General features: G+C 41.8%; 1 protein-coding gene across 2 annotated transcripts in view; it reads right to left on the reverse strand.

The window, feature by feature from the left end:
* Positions 1 to 16,433, reverse strand: part of ZNF280C (zinc finger protein 280C) — a 66,193-nt gene that overhangs the window by 40,340 nt on the left and 9,420 nt on the right. For both annotated transcript variants that reach the window (XM_006724765.4, NM_017666.5), the window contains exons 3-5: positions 3,813 to 3,959; positions 754 to 819; positions 517 to 653 (exon numbers count right to left, since the gene is read on the reverse strand). In XM_006724765.4, coding sequence (XP_006724828.1) covers positions 517 to 653; positions 754 to 819; positions 3,813 to 3,959 — 350 coding nt within the window. The remainder of the gene's footprint in view (positions 1 to 516; positions 654 to 753; positions 820 to 3,812; positions 3,960 to 16,433) is intronic.

Below are 16,433 nucleotides of genomic sequence, written 5' to 3' on the forward strand. Positions count from 1 at the left end.
TTATTAATATGTTGGACAATTCCTGCAGTTATTATTTTGGGTTTTGGTTGAGTTATATCATAAAGATGGGGATTATTTTTCTACTGAAATGGTAACTAGCTATGACAGTTCACAATTTTTTGGGTTTGTTTGTGTTGGCTTTTGTTTTTTTCTTGAATCAGGATCTCACCCTCTCACCCAGGCTGGAATGCAGTGGTATGATCTTGGCTCACTGCAGCCTTGACCTCCAGGGCTCAAGCAATCCTCCCATCTCAGCCTCCCGAGTAGCTGGGACTACAGGTGGTGCACCACTATGCCCAGCTAATTTTTTGTATTTTTGTAGAGATGTGGTCTTGCCATGTTGGCCAGGCTGGTCTCGAACTCCTGGGCTCAAGCGATCTGCCTGCCTTGGCCTCCCAAAGTACCAAAGATTACAGGCGTGAGCCACTGTGCCCGGCTGACAGATCACAATTTTAACTCAGTATTATAATAGCCAATGTGTCCCTGAATTAATTGTGTAATTTTATAAACACTTACAGGTTTAGACGCATTCTCAACAGTAACAGAGCTTTGTGAAGATTTAGATACAAGATGAAATCTAGGCGAGGCAGCCACTGGATTTGATGGTGGGTCTCTGCAGCGTTGACTTGCAGTCCTGAATATTTCAGGAATACCTGTATTTTAAAATTATACAACATATTGAATATATTTCTATACAACCAATTATATCAAAATATTTAACTTTAAAATTGAAATACTACAGTAATACTGTACCTGGACTGTGTGGCTCACTCTTTATTCCTTTTGAAGATGAGCTGGAGTGGCCTCTGTTCAAAATATCTATAAAATTATATTTATTTTAAAATTTGTTATGTGAATGAAATATATACTAATAGAAAAATTCCTCCAAAAACATATCTTTGCATAACCAATAATTGAAGTATATTTCTTTCCTTTAATGGTGACAGGGTTGTGTACAGATTCTGATTCCCGTGACTTGAAATCAAACCCTTCCCCAACCCTGTGCCACATTCACACCTCTAAAAATCTGGAAGTTTCATGATGGGAGGGCTGACTGGATTAACTTTCTGTACCATTACTCTTGAGTTCTGAATAGGAAATTATCAGAGACTACAGACTAAATTAAACCTGGAGTTCCAGAGTATCTGATTAGACTAAATTAAACCTGGAGTTCCAGAGTATCTGATTAATGTAAGGGGTTTCAAATCTATTACTACGCTAGAAGTCAGTTTGAGCCTCACAAAACCCTCTGGATCGGTTTAAGACTGCACACCCTTGTACCCATATGAACTCCGTAACTTCTAGGTTACTGAGGAGTCAAATTGAAATTTGGAAGAATAGTGATTTGCTTAAAATTGTTTATCAGGAAAAGGCACAAAGCATTAACAAATCCCATAAAACCTCAAACATTTTCCTTTTTTCTCTCCTAGTAGAAAAGAACCAGATCCCGGCCAGGCGGGGTGGCTCACACCTGTAATCCCAGCACTTTGGGAGGCCGAGGCGGGCAGATCATGAGGTCAGGAGATCGAGACCATCCTGGCTAACATGGTGAAACCCTGTCTCTACTAAAAATACAAAAAAATTAGCTGGGCGTGGTGGCAGGCACCTGTAGTCCCAGCTACTTGGGAGGCTGAGGCAGGAGAATGGTGTGAACCCGGGAGGTGGAGCTTGCAGTGAGCCGAGATCGTGCCACTGCACTCCAGCCTGGGCGACAGAGCGAGACTCCATCTTAAAAAAAAAAAAAAAAAAAAAAAGAGAGAAAAGAATCAGATCTCACAAAACAATTCTATTAAGTGAAGGGTCACACCAAAGTAGGGTTGCTTTCTGATCATAGAAATGCAGTACTCTATGAGTAAACATTACGGAAGTCTTCTAAAAGAAAAATATCCTCAAACAACTTGATAATGTTTTCATTCAGAAATTCAAGATAAGTATTACTCAATCCACTAAGAGCTATTTTTACTTGTTGGTGGTTATAGTCTACCAATCACAAGTTTTTTGCTCTCCTTCCCCTGCCTTCATTGTTTTTCTATATAAACATTTAGATGAGATCCCATATGCTAAAATATTTTATAGCTCACAAATAAAACATCAATAAAATCACTTAAATTCTAAGTTATCAATATAGAAAAGAAATTCTAGTGGGCCCAATACCCTTTTTGATAGAATCTCTTGAAACGAATACACATTGTTTTGGTTGAGTACTGCTAAGTCATCTACAATCAATATAAATCCAACTTGAATCTTGTCATGCTTCAATAAGATGATTTGAGTAATAATTTTGAAATATGGTAATATTTCAGCATAAAAATTGTCACAGTGACTAGAAATAATAAGAGAATATTCTATTCTACTATCAATAATAAATATGCCAAATATATCTAGCTCATTTAATAATTTAAGTGGCTCTCCACTTAGAACCTCCCAATTTGCCACAGGAAATGATACTGAGAATTCAATTGGCTAAATTATTCTGCCTCTGATAAAACTGAGTAGAAATGCTATTCCAAGTTTAGAGCCAAGAGAAGTAAGAACTAGGATTTCAGAAAATTTAAAACTCATCTCTTAACCACACTATTACTCATTGCCATGGTAAGAAAGAAGACTGGTATGCTGGCTACATTCCTTGACTTCTCCAGGCCTAAAATAAGTAAATAAAATGAAAAAGGATCTGTTTCCCTCTTTCTCTCCTGAAATTCAGTTATGTTGTCCCTTGCACTTTAGACATATTTGAGGACTTTTTTTTTTTCTTTTTTTGAGATATAGTCTTGCTCTGTTGCCTAGACTGGAGTGCAGTGACGTGATCTTGGCTCACTGCAACCTCTGCCTACAGGTTCAGGCGATTCTCATGCCTCAGCCTCCTGAGTAGCTGGGACTACAGGCACGCGCCACCATGACTGGCTAATTTTTTAATCTTTATAGTAGAGAGGGGGTTTCACCATGTTGGCCAGGCTGGTCTCAAACTCCTGGCCTCAAGTGATGTACCCACTTCGGCCTCCCAAACTGCTAGGATTACAGGGAGGAGATATTTTATTTTAATAAACATCACCAGTATCTTCACTTTAACATTGTAATAATGCCAAGTCTAATTACTCTAACAGAAATCTAACAATCCACAAAGGTACTGGACATGTTTTGCTAGAAAGCCAAAAAGATTTACGTGTGCTGACTGCCTGCATTGTCCAAGTATAGTGTTGGAAAACCAGGCCCTCCCTCCTTCATGAATATAAACAGTAGTTGCGGAAGATGGGTGTAGCCAAAGGCTATAGCACATGCTGGTAGACAGACCAGAGATTCTATAATCATGCAGCACCTATGCATTTTATAGTCATATATCAAGATGATACTTTGATGAGGCAGTTGCTTAGACATTAGAACCCCCATCAGACACTAACACAAACTTATTTAGCATATCAGGATATTTTAAGAAAAGTATTCCAAACACTTCCTTTTCTGTAAATCTGAGTTTAAGGGAGAAAAAAAAATTAACAAATAAATAGGCTACTTGGTTCCATTAAAAATTATGATTTCCAATCTCAGAAGGCTTACAATGCTGTTCAGGTCATCTTAACCCTCAATTAACTTAGTTATTTCCTTTTGCTCACATCTGATATTTTAACCTTTCACCTCCTTACTCCAGTCCCCAACTACATTCCCGCTTTGATTCTCACAAGTTCTTACTGACCTTTACTCTCCCTCTTACCTCTAACTCCTTACAGAAGAACAACAGTATGAAGGACAGATATCTCATATATTTTCCATTAGAAACAACCATCTTATGAAACGTTACTTCACTGAAAGTAAATGCTTACTTGAAATGGCTGGTTTTGAACTTGATATCTCTCCAACAAAGATCAGTTCATCGTCATCCTCATCCTGAGTTTCTTCTACTTTCTTCTGCCATGGCTCTAGCTCTTCTTCTTCACATTCCATAAAGAGTTCTGCCATTTTTGAAATGTCTAATTTTCAAGAGAAGAGAAGCTAACTTTATTTTCAAAGAGAAAAATATTTTCTGTGCAATACATAGTATGATATTTAAGATGCACTGTAATAATCCTAATAGCAATTACTGACTTGATATTTGTTTGTTTTTGTGACAGAGTTTTGCTTTTGTTGCCCAGGCGTGATCTCGGCTCACTGCAACCTCCGCCTCCTGGGTTCAAACGATTCTCCTGCCTCAGCCTCCCAAGTAGCTGGGACTACAGGCGCCCACTGCTACGCCCAGTTAATTTTTGTATTTTTCGTAGGGATGGGTTTCACCATGTTGACCAGGCTGGTCTCGAACTCCTGACCTCAAGTGATCCGCCTGCTTCAGCCTCCCAAAGTGCTGGGATTACAGGCATGAGCCACCATGCCCAGCCTACTGACTTGATTCTCGTGCCTCAGCCTCCTGAGTAGCTGGGACTACAGGCATGGTCTACAGTGGACCCTCCCCCACCCTGAGCGGCCATCTCTGCCTTGTAATCAGTACATGGTAGCAAAAGAAATGAGCTCAGAACTAAATCTCTAAGATCTAAACCAGTTAAACTTGGCTAGACAGATAGATAATGAAGGATAGTAGTCATTTACAGTGGCCAATACATTTTAGGATCAAATCCAAAGTGAGTTTTAGTTATAGGACTAGGATGATTATATCTACAAAAAAGACTGTAGCTATTATCTGAAAAAAAAATTCACTTGTATAAACAAGGGAGATAAACTAAGAATAAGAGAAAATACATAGGAGATATACTAGAAAAACGGAACCAGATTCAGGTATATCAGGCACAGGGCAAAGCAGGCATGAGGTACTAGACTGAAAATAGGGAAATTAAGTGAAACTTAATTCTGTTTCAGGACAGATTAGACATTTCTCATTTGAAGAAACTAAGTAAAAAATATACTGTGAATATCACCAGCCTACAAGTTCTGACCCAAATCAGATCTCCTGGGAAGCATTTTAGTGCCTCACTCTTAAATATGGGTGGACAACCAATGCGTACCAGAAAATTGAGGAAAACCTTCAATGTGAAACACCAAAGCAATAAAACAGATTAAAGGATTTTAAAGAAAACCGACAGCCAGGCAGGATGGCAAACTAGATACAGACAGGTGGAACAGCTGCCACCGAGGGACTGGGACAACTGGTGCACTCTTAACACATCTTCAAAGGGGAGGTGCTGAGTGGGCTGAGGGAAGACACAGAAGCTAGAATGAAGCGGGAGGAAACTGGGAAGCCTGTATGGGGCTACTGTGCACCTGGATTGGTTCCTGGCCCCCAATGACTACGGGGGAATGGGTGAGTTGAACTGGCAAGGAACAACTCACTCTTGCCATGGACCTCTGGGAATCCCGGCAGGAGAAGACCCTTTGATCACCACTGACACTTTAGTTGGCAGGGAGAGCTGCTTAGAGAAGTGGTAGAGGCAGCACACGAGCCAGAGTGGAGCCCAGAGGGTTTGTTGCAGGAACATCTGTATTCAAGCACAGCCTGGGATGCCCATCCCCCTAGGCTCTGCTTGTTTCCATAGGAGACTGTAGCACTAGGGGAACTGTCAGACCTGAACTCTGCAGGGTGGTCTTGCCCATCTGACCTGAGCACTCTTTGGTCAGCTGTCCTCTCCTGGAGCCCCAGTCTGCCCATTCCCTCTTGCAGTACAGCCTAGAGTGCCCTGATGGCCAGCATCATAGCTCCTGAGCTGGCCAACCGGGCTTGACCAGCGGAGAGCTCCAGCAGGGTTGCCCCTGTGGCCATGCACTGGCCCACCTGCTCATTCTCCCCACTCCAGCTTACCCTGGGTCCATGGCCACCCTCCACATCACTTTGCCAGTCAGTGCGTATGTGCGCAAGTGGATCTTGCCTTCCCTGCCCCGTAAGAACATATGTGTATGTGCACCCTGCCCTGCCTGCTGCCAGTGGGAGTGCACTCCGCCCACCCTCCTCTGCCATACTACCATTGTAGTCGGAGCCTTGGTGAGCACAGAGCCCGCAAGACCTGTGCCCACCAGCACCCTGCCCCTGAGCCACCACTGCCACTAGAATGTAACTACGCACAGAGAACAGTGGACCCTCCCCCACCCTGAGCGGCCATCTCTGCCTGTATCAACATGTACAAAGAGTGCATACAGTCCTGCAACGGCCAGTGCCCCATCCCCATGCTAATGCCACCACCAGCATGACCATACACACAGTTGCCACCTGGGGCCCCTGCACCCCTGAGCCATGCTGCCTCTGCCACTTCTGCGAAAGCCCACGCAGAAGCCACTAGCACCCTGCAGCAGCTGATGAGTGTGCACTCTGCTGTGCTGCTGCTGCCACTGGCATGTGTGAACAAGAATGGGCCCTGCTGTCACTGCCCTACAAAACAGTTTGGCTGGCATCACCCATTGGCGTGCTGGGACAAGAGGTCCACGAGCACCTCAGTCCCCCTAGCACAGTGAGTTCCTAACCTTGAGAAGCCAGAGAAAAAAGCAGAGGTCCAATATCAGTCCTACAAAATTAGAGCATGCACTCCAGGAGTTGTAAGCTGAGCCTTGGCCCCCTAAAATCTTCTAGAAATGAAGCCAGTTGACTGAATCTACCTTATACCACAATCAAACCCTTAAGGTCATCAGGTAGAAGAAAAAAATAATCCAAAGGACAGTGACTTCAAAGACTGAAGGAACATCAGCCCACAAAGAAGAGAAAGAACCAGCAAAAGAACTCTGACAACTCAAAAAGCCAGAGTGCCTTCTTTCCTCCAAACTGCATTCACTCTCCAACAAGGGTTCCGAAGGGGGCTGAGATGGCTGAAAGGACAGAAAAAAGAATTCAGGATATGAACAGGAATAAAGGTCACTGAGATGCAGGAGTACACTGAAACCTAATCCAAGGAAGCTAAGAATCATAGTAAAACAATACAGGAGCTGATAGACAAAATAGCCAGTATAGAAAAGAACGTAACTGACCTGATAGAGCTGAAAAACATACAAGAATTTCAAAATGCAATCATAAGTATTAATAGCGGAATAGAACAAGCGGAGGAAAGAATCTCAGAACTTGAAGACTGGTTTTCTAAGATAGCCAAAAAAATATAGAGAAAAAAGAATGAAAAGGAACAAACAAGACTTCTGAGAAATATGGGATTATGTAAAGAGACCACTAAACACCCACATCAAAAAGACAGATCTCAATTTAACATCCTACCATGACAACAAAAAGAACTAGAGAACCAAGAGCAAACCAATTCCAAAGCTAAGAGAGAAGACAAGAAATGTCCAAAATCAGAGCTGAACTGAAGGAGATTGAGACAAGAAAAACCATTCAAAAGATCAGTGAATCAGGGAGTTGTTTTTTGAAAAAATTAATAAAATAGGCCACTAGCTAGACTAATACAGAAGAGAGAAGATCCAAATAAACACAATAAGAAACAACAAAGGAGATACAACAACTGAACCCAGAAAAATACAAATAAACATCAGACAATATTATGAACACCTCTATGCACACCAACTAGAAAATCCAGAAAAAATGAATAAATTTTGGGACACATTCACTCTCCCCAGACTGAACCAGAAATAAACTGAAGCCCTGAATAGAATAATAACGAGCTCTGAAATTGAACCAGTAAAAAGAGCCTACCAATCAAAAAAAGGTGAGAACCAGATGGATTCACACTTGAATTCTACAAGATGTACAAAGAAGAGCTGGTACTATTCCTACCGAAAGTCCTTCCTAACTCATTCTATGAGGCCAGCATTGTCCTGATAACAAAACCTGGAAGAGACACAACAAAAAAATAAAACTTTGCTGGATGCGGTGGCTCACACCAGTAATTCCAACATTTTGGAAGGCGGAGGTGGGTGGTTAACTTGAGGCCAGGAGTTCGAGACCGGCCTGGATAGGTAACATGGTGAAACCCCCATCTCTACTAAAATACAAAATTAGCCAGGGTGATGGTGAAAGCCTGTAATTCCAGCTACTTGGGAGTCAGAGGCAGAAGATTCACTTGAACCCAAGAGGCAGAGGTTGCAATAAGGTGAGATCACACCACTGTACTCCAGCCTGTGCGACAGAGTAAGACTGTCTCAAAAAAATAAAATAATAATAATAATAATAAAGAACAGCTTAGCCAGGCATGATGGCAAGTACTTCTTTCCCAGCTACTCAGAATGCTGAGGTGGGAGAATCACCTGAGCCCCAGGAGACTGGGGATGCAGTGAGCCATGATGGCACCACTGTATTTTAGTCTAGGCAAACGCAGTAAGGACCTGTCTCAAAAAAAAAAAAAAAAAAAAAAAAAGACCAGCAATATTATACAACATTTCCCTCTCATTCACCCTTTCTTTCTCAGGAAGAATCCACCAAAACGAGACTTAAGAAGGAGGACAATGCAGGATGCAGAAAATCTGACATTCGGCACAATACAAAAACAAAAGAAAATCCCAGGACAACAGCTGTGCAGTAGGTCTACAGAGCAAACAGCCAGAGTAGCGCAGGAGAATATCATTTCCAGGAGACCAGCCAATCTTCCAAAGTATTAAGCATTAAATTGTTAGATAACCTGACAAGTTTCACAGTGTAACAAAAGTGAATTAAGAGGCCATGGGGCCGGGCGCGGTAGTGGTGCATGCCTGTAGTTCCAGCTACCCAGGAGGCTAAAGAATGAGAATCTCTGGAACCCAGGAGAGAACGAGAATCTCTGGAACCCGGAAGGGGAAGTGCAGTGAACTGAGATCGAAACACTGCACTCCAGCCTGGGAGGCAGCGCCAGACTTCGTCTGAAAAAAAAAAAAAAACAAAAACAAAAACAGAGGTGACAGAAGGAGCCAGGCGTAGAGGCTCACGACCTTAATCCCAGCACTCTGGGAGGCCGGGGTGGGCGGATCACTTGATGTCAAGAGTTTAAGACCAGCCTGGCCAACATGGCGAAACCCCGTCTCTACTAAAAACACAAAAATTACCCAGGCATGATGGCGCACACCTGTAAGCCCAACTATTTGGGAGGCTGGGGCAGGGGAATCGCTTGAACCCAGGAGGTGGAGGTTGCAGTGAGCTGAGATCGTGCCACTGCACTACAGCCTGGGTGGCAGAATGAGACGCTATCTCAGAAAAAATGAAAAACAAAAAACGAAAAAACCAAAAATCAAAAAACCAAAAAGCTTTCATGCCAACATCTTTGATGAACATGGATGCAAAAATCCTCAACAAAATATTGGCAAACCGAATACAGCAGCACATCAAAAAGCTTATCTACTACTATCCTGCAGGCTTTATCCCTGGGATGCAGGGTTCGTTCAACACATGCAAATCAATAAATGTGATTCATCACATAAACAGAACTAAGGACAAAAACTATCTGATTATCTCAATACACGCAGTAAAGGCTATCAATAAAATTCAACACCCCTTCGTGTTAAAAATACTCAATAAACGGTCAGGTGTGGTGGCTCAGGCCTGTAATCCCAGCATTCTGGGAGGCCGAGGTGGGCGGATCACGAGGTCAAGAGATCAAGACCATCCTGGCCAATATGGTGAAACCCTGTCTCTACTAAAAATAAAAAAATTAACTGGGTGTGGTGGCGCGTGTCTGCAGTCCCAGCTACTTGGGAGGCTGAGGCAGGAGAATGGCTTGAACCCAGGAGGCGGAGGTTGCAGTGAGCCAAGATCGTGCCACTGCACTCCAGCCTGGTGACAGAGTGAGACTCCGTCTCAAAAAAAAAAAAATTCTCAATAAACTAGGTATTAAAGGAACATACCTCAAAATAATAAGGGCCATCTATGACAAACCCACAGGCAACATCATACAGAATGGGCACAAGCTGGAAGCATTCCCCTGGAAAACCAGCACAAGACAAGGATGCTCTCTCTCACCGTTCCTATTCAACACAGTATTGGAAGTCTTGACTAGAGCAATCAGGCAAGAGAAAGAAATAGACGGCATCCACATAGGAAGACAGGAAGTCAAACTATCCCTGTTTGCAGACAGCATGAGCCAATATCTAGAAAACCCCATAGTCTCTGCCCAAAAGTGCCTTAAGCTGATAAACAACTTCAGCAAAGTCTCAGGATACAAATCAACGTACAAAAATCACCGGCATTCCTATACACCAACAACAGTCAAGCCAAGTGCCAAATCAGGAACACAATCTTATTCACAACAGCTACAAAAAGAATAAAATACCTAGGAATAGAGCTAACCAGGGAGGTTAAAGATCTCTTCAATGTGAATTACAAAACACTGCTGAAAGAAATCAGAGATGACACAAACACATGGAAAAACATTCTACGCTCATGAATTGGATGAATCAGTATTGTTAAAATGGCATACTGCCCAAAGCAATTTATAAATTCAATGATATGCCTATCAAACTACCAATGACATTCTTCACAGAACAAGAAAAAGCTATTTTCAAATTCATATGGAACCAAAAAAGGCCTGGATAGCCAAGACAAACCTAAGCACAAAGAACAAAGATGAAGGCATCATGCTACCTGCCTTCAAATGGTACAGGGCTACAATAACCAAAACAACATGGTCCTGGTACAAAAACACATATATAAACCAATGGAACAGAATAGAGAGCCCAGAAATAAGGCCACACACCTACAGCCATCTGACGTTCGACAAAGCTGACAAAAACACACAATGGGGAAAGGACTCCCTATTCAATAAATGGTGCCAGGATAACTGGCTAGCCATATGCAAGAGACTGAAACTGGACCCCTTCCTTACACCATACACAAAAATCAACTCAAGATGGATCAAAGACTTCAATGTAAAACCCAAAACTATAAAAACCCTGGAAGACAACCTAGCCAATACCATTCTGGACATAGGAATGGCCAAAGACTTCATGACAAAGACGTCAAAGGCAATTACAACAAGAGCCAAAATTGACAAATGGGCTCTAATTAAATGAAACTATAGACAGAGCAAAAGAAACTAGAGACAGAGTAAACAGACAACCTACAGACAGGAGAAAAATTTTGCAAATCATGCATCTGACAAAGGGCTAATATCCAGCATATATAAAGAACTTAAACAAATTTACAAGAAAAAAGCAAACAACCCCATTGAAAAGTTGGCAGTGGATGTGAACAGATGCTTATCAGAAGAAGACATACATGCAGGCAACAAGCATATGAAAAAAAGCACAACATCACTGATCATTAGAGAAATGCAAATCAAAACCACACTGAGATATAATCTCTCACCTGTCAGAATGGCTATTCAAAAGTCAAAAAAATAACAGATGCTGGGGAGGTTGCAGAGAAAAAGGAACATTTATACACTGTTGGTGGGAGTGTAAATTAGTTCAACCACTGTGGAAGACAGTGTGGTGATTCCTCAAAGAGCTAAAAACAGAACTACCATTAGACCCAGCAATTCTATTACTAGGTATATACCCAAAGGAATGTAAACTCTTCTATCATAAAGACACATGTATACATATGTTCACTGCAGCACTATTCACAGGAGCAAAGACATGGAATCGACCCAAATGCCCATCAATGGTAGACTGGATGAAGAAAATGTGGTACATATACACCATGGAGAACTTTGCAGCCATAAAAAAGAGCAAGGTCATGTCCTTTGCAGGAACATGGATGGAGCTGGAGACCATTATCCTTAGCAAACTAATGCAGGAACAGAAAACCTAATACCACATGTTATCACTTATAAGTGGGAGCTAAATGATGAGAACACATGGACATATAGAGGTGAACAACAGATGCTGAGGGCCTACTTGAGGGTGGAGGGTGGGAGGAGGGAGAGGATCAGGAAAAATAACTCATGAGTACTAGGCTTAATACCTGAGTGATGAAATAACCTATACAACAAACCCCCAAGACATGAGTGTACCCATAACAAACCTGCACATGTATCCCTGAACTTAAAATAAAAGTTAAAAAAAGAAGACACAGATAATACAGAGCAAGAGACAATAATAGGATATAATAAACATCTTTAGACAGATAAGACAACGATATTATATAAAGACAGCCAAAATTCAGTTAAAAAAAAAAAAAAGTCAAATGTCAAAGTTGAGTAAATGTGAAACCAAAAGACAAAAAACACATATATTAAACACAGAAAACAAGATTGGTAGAAAAATCATTTTCTTTTTTTTTCTTTTTTTTTTTTTTTTTGAGACGGAGTCTCGCTCTGTCACCCAGGCTGGAGTGCAGTGGCGGGATCTCGGCTCACTGCAAGCTCCGCCTCCCGGGTTCACGCCATTCTCCTTCCTCAGCCTCCCAAGTAGCTGGGACTACAGGCGCCCGCCACTACGCCCGGCTAATTTTTTGTATTTTTAGTAGAGACGGGGTTTCACCGTTTTAGCCGGGATGGTCTCGATCTCCTGACCTCGTGATCCGCCCGCCTCGGCCTCCCAAAGTGCTGGGATTACAGGCGTGAGCCACCGCGCCCGGCCGAAAAATCATTTTCAAAGGTATAAAATGCACCTAACAAAAGCTCCAGAAAAAAAAAAAAGAGAGAGAAAAAGGAGAGGAGAAGTAATCAAAGGAAAATACAAAAAAAATTCCTAGTTCTCATGGATATAAATCTACAGAAAGAAAGGGCCCACTAACAGCCAGCACAATGATCAAGAATAAAAACTACACTAGCGGGACATATGAAATTTCAGAATATCAGAAATTGCCAGGTGGCTGAGTGTGGTGGCCCAGGCCTGTAATCCCAGCACTTTCGGAGGCCAAGGCAGGTGGATCACTTGAGGCCAGGAGTTCGAGACCAGCATGGACAACATGGTGAGACGCTGTCCCTACTAAAAATACAAAGATTAGCTGGGCATGGTGGTGCGCACCTGTAATTCTAGCTGCTTGGGAGGCAGAGGCACAAGAATCGCCTCAACCCAGGAGCCGGTGGTTGCAGTGAGCTGAGATAGGACCCTGCCACTGCAATCTAGCCTGGGTGATGGAGAGTCTCACTCAAACAAACAAACAAGAATAAAGAACAGCTTAGTCAGGCATGGTGGTGTGCACTCAAGTCCTAGTTACTCAGAAAGCTGAGGTGGGAGAATCACCTGAGCTCCAGGAGGTGGGGCTGCAGTGAGCCATGAAGGTGCCACTGCACTCCAATCTAGGCAACAGAGTAAGGGCTTATCTCCAAAAAAAAATAAGAATAAGAATAAAGACCAGCAATATTATACAACATTTCCCTCTCATTCCCCCTTTCTTAGTAGGAATCCACCAAAACAAGACTTAAGAAGGAGAATGGCACAGGATGCAGAAAATCTGACATTGAGCACAATACAAAAACAAAAGAAAGTCCCAGGACAAGAGCTGTGCAGGAGAATACCACTCCCAGGAAGGTGCCAATCCCCCTAAATATTATTAAAATATTAAACATTAAATTGTTAGATTACCTGACAAGTTTCAGTGCAGGAAAAGTGAATTAAGAGGCCATGGGGCCGGGCGCGGTGGTGGTGCACGCCTGTATTCCCAGCTACACGGGAGGCAGAGGCAGAGGCATGAGAATCGCTGGAACCCGGGAGTGGGAAGTGCAGTGAGCCAAGACTGCGCCACTGCACTCCAGTCTGGGCGACTGGGAGACTCCATCTCAAGAAAAAAAGGGGACAAAGAAGTGGGGGGGCGCGGTAGCTCACGACCTTAATCCCAGCACTTTGGGAGGCTGAGGTGGGCAGATCACTTGAGGTCAGGAGTGTGAGACCAGTGTGGTCCATACGGCAAAATCCTGTCTCTACTGAAAACAAAAATACAAAAATTTGCAGTGCATGGTGGCGCACACCTTTAATCCCAGCTAGGCGGGAGGCTGAGGCAGGAGAATTGCTGGAACCCGGGAGGTAAAGGTGCAGTGAGTTGAGATCACGCCACTGCACTCCAGCCTGGTTAACAGCGTGAGACTGTCTCAGAAAATAAAATAAAAGAAAGAGGGCCAGGCGCGGTGGCTCACACCTGTAATCCCAGCACTTTCGGAGGCCGAGGCAGGCAGATCACGGGGTCAGGAGATCGAGACCATCCTGGCTAACATGGTGAAACCCCGTCTCTACTAAAAACACAAAAAAATTAGCCAGGCATGGTAGCAGGTGCCTGTAGTCCCAGCTACTCGGGAGGCTGAGGCAGGAGAATGGTATGATCCTGGGAGGCAGAGCTTGCAGTGAGCCGAGATCACGCCACTGCACTCCAGCCTGGGCAAGAGCGAGACTCTGTCTCAAAAAAAAAAAAAAAAAAAAAGGCTCTGGAAGGGTGTGAGTGGCTATAGGTTTTAATAAACTTTGCTGACTTATAAAATGAAAATTTTAATTGGACAATACATAGAAAAAGAGAAAAGGAAATGTATCCATCATAATACATTAATACAGTACCATGCTCACCCGTGAACAGTATTACGGTCATCATAAAATCACTGAATATGATTTACTGAAAAATTCAGATATAACTATATTGAGAGATGCTTAAAAGGAAGAAAAAGCTTTAAGAAAACCAAAATCCTCATCTTCCTTGACAGAAAATCACTAGGTAATGGCAAAACTTGATGATTCAAGAGACAACATATGTACATATGAGTTTTAAAAATTGAGAAACGTGGAATTATTAGAAAAACAGCTATACAACTGAAAGTACATGCTTTCAGTTTTTTAGCTTGAAAAAACAGGGAGTATATAGGTACCTGCATGTGCTCACACATACACACCTATCTCTACCTCTCTCTCTCTCCTTCACTCCCTCCCTTCAAGAGACTGTGCTTAAGTAACTTAAAGGCTTTTCAAGTTGTTTGACTTTAAAAAAAGATAAGTGTATTGTTTAGGTTAAAAAATAGTGAAGGAGATGTAAACTAATGTAACAGCAATGGGGTCTGGGCACAGTGGCTCACGCCTTTAATCCCAGCACTTTGGTAGACTGAGATGAGGCCAGGAGTTCGAGACCAGCCTGGCCAACATGGTGAAATCTCGTCTCTACTAAAATTACAAAAATTACAAAAATTAGCTGGGAGTGGTGGGGCACACCTGCAATCCCAGCTACTTGGGATGCTGAGGCAGGAGAATCACTTGATCCTGAGTGGCAGAGGTTGCAGTGAGCAGAGATGGCACCACTGCTCTCCAGTCTGGGCCACAGTGCTAGACTCTGTCTCAAAAAAATAAAAAATAAATAATAAATAATAAAAATGGGAATGTATATAAGTGGTGGAGTGACATGTGGATTGTCGGGGACAACTATAAGAATAAATAAAAACAAAATAAAACTTCTTCAGGGTTCTGGCTTAGACAATGATATCTTTGTTTTTCAAATGCAGTCATTCCTAACAGTAATTTTACTATATTAAAATAATGCCATTTCTACTTTTGACTCAAAATTAAGGCCATCCTTTAGCATGGCCTTAACATGTAAAACTTGAAAACAATGATTTGAGGACAGTACACAAACAAAACCTCTTAACAAATTGGTTCCATTCTTTTAAAACATTTTGATTTCCTCTTCTATACAGATATGCCAGATATCATGGCTTGGCATAACATTGTTTGATGTTCAGTAGTCTGCCTACCAAACAAAGAAACCCCCAAAACAAAAAATCTTCAAATTCTCCCAAATGTAACCAATATTATGAACTGACCCTTTTTTCCAAATACCTCAAAAAACATTACATAGAATGTTGTAAGTCAGACAATTAAAAGTATTAATTCATATTTCAGTATTTGTATATTCTGAATACTTGAAAATACCGCACTCATTGTGTCCTTTGAAGTCCTCATTCGTACTGCTTCTTCCACCTGGAATACCCTTTCTCCTTACCTTATACTGTCCACATCATTCGAGTATAGTGGAAAGAGCATGCACTTGACATCAAATTGAATAGTTCAAATCCTCACTGCACCATTTTTAATTATGTGACTCTGGAGAAATTACTTGAATCTATTTTCTCACCTCTAACATGAGCACAATATCTACCTAATAGAAGTGGTAACAGAGATTCAGGAAAATGCCATATTAATAAGTATCTAACTTCAAACAGATATCCCCCCAAATTGATTCTTTGCCCCTTTCCAACTCTTAGTTCAATTATAACTTCCTCAGCAAACCATTAGATTTGTTTTTCTTTAACCTCTTACTGCACTGACAGTCTATGCTATGCAATTCAAGATTTAATATATATGATCTCAAACTGCCTATTTCTTAGTGTGCCTTAATTATACATGTTCAACTCCAAAGTAAGCTCCTTGAGAGTGAAAAACATATTTTCTTTCTTTGTATTTCCTCCTACACACAGTAGTGTATTGGATATGTAGTAGGTACTTAACACATGATTATCTATGGGGTAAGAAACTAGGTAAAGCCAGGCAATGCCAGATTTAAAGAAACAAGGGAGACTCATATATACTGATGATTGAAAAAGTAATTTACATTCATGTTGACACCACTGTGATATTATGGGAACAAATAAATAGGTCTTCCCCATTCTTTTAAACTGAGTACTGTCATTGTTAATTTCAAGATA

The sequence above is a fragment of the Homo sapiens genome, chromosome X (assembly GCF_000001405.40).
Source record: "Homo sapiens chromosome X, GRCh38.p14 Primary Assembly".
NCBI lineage: Eukaryota > Metazoa > Chordata > Mammalia > Primates > Hominidae > Homo > Homo sapiens.